The sequence below is a fragment of the Homo sapiens genome, chromosome 2, assembly GCF_000001405.40.
Source record: "Homo sapiens chromosome 2, GRCh38.p14 Primary Assembly".
Taxonomy (NCBI): domain Eukaryota; kingdom Metazoa; phylum Chordata; class Mammalia; order Primates; family Hominidae; genus Homo; species Homo sapiens.
Genome location: NC_000002.12, coordinates 115,841,791 through 115,847,790, shown reverse-complemented (window position 1 = coordinate 115,847,790; position 6,000 = coordinate 115,841,791). Strand labels below are relative to the sequence as shown.

Sequence of the window (6,000 nt, the reverse complement as noted above, 5' to 3'; positions counted from 1 at the left end):
AAAATCCTTCTTAAGACTTCCGGAGAAAATTATCTTTCCCGATAAAAGATAGGCAAGAGGAGAGTCGTCCTTTGACTTTCTATCCTTGGACAATGCTCCGAAAAGATGATACATTGCCTGGGGCAGCTGCAGTTATCTGAAAACAAGGCAGGGAACAAAAAGCAGACCAAAGCAAAAGTGTAAACTTGGGAGGAGACTGGGATTTGAGTGTATCATTGATCAGTTAACTGACCTAGAAGCACCCAACTTTAGCGCTCCTGGAATGTGAATCAGTAATAGTTCCTATCATTGAAGCTAGTGTTTCTCAAACTTTAATGTGCACATCACTTGGGGATCTTGTTAACATTCGGGTTCTGATTCAAGAAGGTCATGGTAGTGCCTTAGAGTATACATATCTAACAAACTCCCAGGTGACGTCCAAGCTGTGCATATATTGAATCACAAGTATTTAAGCCATTTAAAATTTTGTATTTAGTTCCCTGCAGCCAGAAGCATGCAAAATGGCATCTTTGAACAGTGAGGGTTCAAAGATGTCCATCTTTGAACAGTGAGGATTCATTGAAAACTGAATCCAAAGAGATGATGATGAACTTTAGGAACTAGCTTTAAAAAATGCATGGATAAAACCATCACATGTGAGGGCTTGGAGATCATCAGGGTCTAACTTCAAATATTGGTTCCATCATTTACGCACTATGTGGCTTTGTTGGAAAATTGTTTAATTTCTCTGAATCTTGATTTCTTTATCAGAGAACAATAGTATGTATCTCATATGGCTGGACTGAGGATTAGCTGAGCTTATGTAACAAAAAGCATAGGTGTAGAATAAATGTGAGTTCCTTTTCTCTGATGCAACTGGCCGGATAGAAATCTGCATTCTCAAGCTTCACACATGTCAAAAATAACTTCGTTACAACGGGGGTAGGTATGATAGAAATAGACAGGTTGTGAGAATTGGCACAGAAATTTTCTTACTATCCCAACTGTTGTTATTAGAAGTCTGTGATGCTTGTATCAGTCGACCATAAGCTTAATTGGAAGTCTAAAAGAGAAATAATAAAAATTGTACTTTGATGTGACTTATTTTCTTTTTAAAACCTGTCTGCCTTGTTTATGAGAGAGGGATTTTTTTCGAATTCACAGAATCTCTCCTCAACAATTGCTGGAATATTGCTAAATGAAATAAAAGTGTTGTTAGCAGATCTGATCAGTGGTAAAGCAAATCTATTTCTACACTAGTAGAAAAGTGGGAGGTAATGCAACTTTCCTGCGTCAGATTGCAAATAGGATTGTGGGTGTCTGCTATGACTTGAAATGTGACATGCTTTGTGTGTGTTGTAAGGTTTGAGAACTACATGAGGTTTTCATGTTTACAAGCCTGGGTGTTTTGAACAATATAATGGTTCTGCAGTATATAGATGCATCTCTGAATGATTTTGCAGTGTTTTTGGTATAATGTCCAAGCAAGGAGATTTACTAATGACTTCCAAGCATATAGTCATGGTCTTCTGAGCAAGGGTTTCCATGCACAAGAATAACTCTTACGTATCTTCAACGGAGAAAGAAAACATGTTTTAATGTTACATATGTCCTCTTGACATTAGGGAATTCATGTATCTTCAAACATTCCACAATGGTAAATTAGTTTGCCCATTACTTTTCAGTATTATTGCTATGAAACTATTCTCAAAAATATTTGGAACCATGTGTTTAAATATTCAGAATGTTTTCTCATGTGCTGTCAACATGGGTTAACTCTCCTTATTTCAGGAGTGCTGGAGAGCAGAATCACTAAGAACATGAACTTCTAAGTTGGCTGGTGCTGGGTTTTAGTGTTTTTACTTACTACTTACATAAATGTGGGCAAGCTACATACTTCTCTAAAACTGAATTTCCTTATCTGTAAAATGGGAAACATAATACCTCCTTAGGGCATTTTGAGAAGATTCAATTTGATAGTGCATGTAGAGCATTTATCATAGGTTTGGCACTTAGTAAGAGTCCAATACATTTTCATTAGAAAGAGTTTATTCGAACCTGAAAATAAACCACTGATTTATTCTTATTTTATTTCTCCTCCTGTAATATTCACAGTGATAATTTCTTGTGGAGGGGAAAAATAGTTTCCAGAAAGCAGAGTCTAAGACAACAGCTAGCACACCTGCCGTTTATTTTGGAAAGTGATCATAGGGAATAGGAGTAGGGAGCTTAAAAGAGTGAAATGGGGAAGAGGAAAATAGAAGGGTATGCAGCTATGGGCTTCTGCGGCCCACAGAGTCTTCCATGGACCATGTAGAATATCTGAGGGAAAGATCAGTTACCTGCTACAGTCTTTCATTAATTGTGTTTTAGCGGGTTAGTAACACCTTCACATCGGTTTGCAGCATGTAAGCGATTTGTCTCTTGGTTCTACCAAGTAGCCAAAATTAGTATCAGAGAATCCCCAGAACAGAAAGTGAAAGTGAGCAGAGCTGAGAGGCCAGATTGTATCCATACAGTGTTGGTGGCCGCAGGATGTGAAGGTGGTCAGAGAACTTGAGGAGGGACACAAGTGGTATTTCATATATAACTCCTCATAGAAGCTATGTGCTGTCAGTGATTCTAGAGACTTGAAAGCAATTCAGTCCAAGGTACTTCTGTCTCCAAGCCCAACATTTGAAGGACAATGGCTTAAGTAATTCTCTAATATGGTAAAGCCCAATGTCTAAGTCACCTCATTGTAATAGATCTACAACAGACATCTGTAAGATCCCCAATAGTGATTTTTATGCTAAACACCCAATTAAAAAAAGGCACATTTTCAGAGTGAAGTGAGATCCATCTTTTGAAGAGTGATTCCTTCCTTTAGTTCTGTCAGGAAACTCAAAGAGATGAGAATAGCCTGCTTAGTCTCTGAGTATTTGGAGATCTTAATGAAGGCAATGAAAGTGAACAAACACTTTTCTCTTTCAAAAGAGTTTCAAGAGATTGTTTATCTCTGTGGATGATTTAATACTGCTTACCTATTTAATTAAAGAATTCAATATATTGATTTTTTTCTTTAACATTAAGGGAATAATAACACTTGGAAAGCATGCTATTGGAGTCCTAGGAAAATCTAGCAATGCATAAATATGTATGAAATAGTGGGATTATGACCAAGGGTACATGTATACAGGGGAAAATCCAATCACATGATTCCTTTAATAGTTGGTGACTATGTGTTGGTGAGCATTTCCTTTACTGAAAATGACCCTGTCATTAAAACTCAAAGAATCGCAGGGATTAACATTTTCTACCTTCCTACTAAGCAATATGCTTTCACTTGAGGTCTCTTTAGTGTTTAAGGGGAAAACGGGTTCCAGAAAAATGTCTTTCACATTAGAAACTGTATTAAATTAATTGAAAAATAGATAAACATTGATAATAATAATAAAACAAGAGAAATGATGACAGTAAAAGGCAAATACTTTTTAAATGATACTCAAATAGACATTCAATAAAACCACACCTTTCAGACAACATAATCATTTGCATCATAAAAAACTCTAGTGGTTCAAATTTAAAATATTGGTTAAAAAGCTTCAGTTGGATTTCAAATTAGCCTAAAAAGAAATTTCCATCTTAATAAAATAGGCAAAACTTTCCTTTTAAAATTACAACTTATTTTGTTAAAAAATGTGTTCACTATTCTTGAAAAAGACCTAAAATGGATCTTTCAGAAGAGAAAGCCTCTCCTATTTTAAATTGAACCCAGTGGAGCATGGAAGACACGATTCCAAAGCATCCAGGGAAAAAGTTGAATACCAAATCCATGATTCACATGTACTCAAATACCCAGAATTTGGGGTTGATCCTTCAACAAAACAGGAGGGTGACTGAGTGATTCCTTGATATTTTAAAGTTTCCTCCTGATGCCATAAGTTATGATAATTCAGTCTGTCCTAAGGACTTTTTTAAAACCACAAAAATGCAGTATCCTGCCTAGATTTATCTGAACTTCTAAGCTTATTACAGACTTTTAGATATCTTCTGGAAGATCCCTTAAGTGAAGTGAGAAGATATTCTGACTTTAGTCACCAAAGTTAAATGTTCTCATCACTTAAATTGACTTCATACAGTCAGGTTTATTTTATGCTCTCAGTTACTTACTACTGCAAGTCAACACAGCACAGGAATTGATGCATTTTGTGCCTTCAATTCAAAGTAAATAGCAAACACTGCTGTCTGTGAACTTTTTGGCCAATGAATAAAAAATATTTCATTTCTAATTCTCACCAGAAGAATTGAAATTAAACAGTAACAGATGAATTGGGCAGGCATGGAATACTAAATAGAAACTGGCAAATGAAATAATCCAGCTATTTGCTTTTACGATGAAAATGAGAATTGATTCTGCACTGAGAGAAAGAAGTAAAAGGACCAAGAGTTTTGAAAAAAGCCTTCTCCACCAAAAGAGCAAAATAGCACTCAGTGGCATTGCATTGTTAACAAAATTTCTTTATCAGAAACTATAATTTAATATTTAAGTATCTAATTTACATGTGACAAGGTATCATATTCAAAAAATTAAATGCAACTGGAAAACTATTAACCACTAAAAACAATACCAAACACAACCCAAACATTTATAGGAAAGCAATAGCTAGAATTTGAATTGGAAAAAATGTTTCATCATATTTGGCTCATTAAACAAAGCATCCATTATAGCTTGGAAAAGAGCATCTCTTCTAATTCATCAAACGTTTACTCTTTATAGCATGAATAACATTTAAAGATAGTTTCATTAACTGTATATGCACACTTGTGTATATATATTGTGAGACATACACTCGTGTGTTCATTTAAAGATATTGTATCTACTGATAACTGGCTGAACTTTGGAAGGTGCTGAAATCCACATTTCTATATGTCCTTTGACCCATTTAATAATGTCTTTTTAAAAACAGAAATTACATAAAATACTCTGTTTTTTATTAACTGAATATTTTCTTAAGCATAATAATAGACAATGAAAGAATTGCACTTATTATAAAGGTACAGTAAAGTGTTAGATTGCAGCTCAGCCATGAAAGATCAGGGACTGTAGGACAGATGATAGATTGTGCATTATATGCAAAGATGATGGTGGCCAGTGAAATTAAAATGAGAGCAACTAGTTACAGAACAAACAGGGGGATAACAGAAGAAAACATGCACTACTCCTACTTTAATGCAAAACTAATTTCTCCCAGGAAACCAACCCTTTGACCTCTCTCATACAAAGAAACGGGTTCTGCACCCCTAGCAACACAGTAGACTTGGACTTGTGTATTCAAATGCTAGTTCACTGTCTCTGAGCGTGCTGCTCCAGTGACATCTCCGTAAGCTGCCCTTGACATTCTGGAGCAACTACAATATTACAGTCTCTTTGTCAGGTTTCATTGAGCCTCAATATTCCCTTCAGTTCTGTATAAATACAGTCCATTATTCATCTTCTTCTGGTTCCTGTGGTAGCACAGATATTTCTTCCTTCAAACAATCACTGAAGAATTTGAGGATTGTGCTGTAGAGATGATACTTGCTCTTCTCAGATACGTTATGACCTTCATCTGGGTAGACCTAAGATATTGAGGAGAAAGAAGATTTCAAATTATCCAAGAAGCTATTGTCTCTCGCATTCATTTTCTGAGCCCTAACGTCATGGAAACTTTGAGTAATAATATCTGACCAAAATCAAACCTAATTCTACTCTAAGTTATTCATGCTAAACTTTTAAAACAATTGTAATCATGTCAATTAATATTTGGTATTTAAATTAGAATATGTTGGCCATAAAAGGTAGACTTTTTCATGTTTATGTTGACTGAGATGGACTAACCTTGCCCTCAGCTTGACTAAACTTTGGACAGTTTCTTTTTGACTAAAGGCCCTTGGCCTCTCCTCCCCTTTTTAGGAGTATTTAGTTTAGAAAACTTTCCAGCTCTTTATTTAAAGAGCATTGAGTTCAGTCTTTGTCTCCTTTGCAGTAGTTTTTCATAA

The 6,000-nt window shown here is 35.5% G+C and overlaps 1 protein-coding gene across 24 annotated transcripts in view; it reads right to left on the bottom strand.

Annotated features, from left to right (window-relative positions):
* Positions 1-2,010: 2,010 nt before the first annotated feature.
* DPP10 (dipeptidyl peptidase like 10) overlaps positions 2,011-6,000 on the bottom strand; it is a 1,403,140-nt gene continuing 1,399,150 nt past the window's right edge. For 23 of the 24 annotated variants that reach the window (NM_001321910.3, NM_001399849.1, NM_020868.6 and 20 more), the window contains one exon: positions 2,011-5,580. In NM_001321910.3, coding sequence (NP_001308839.2) covers positions 5,446-5,580 — 135 coding nt within the window. In that variant the 3' untranslated portion in view covers positions 2,011-5,445. 24 annotated transcript variants of the gene reach the window in all.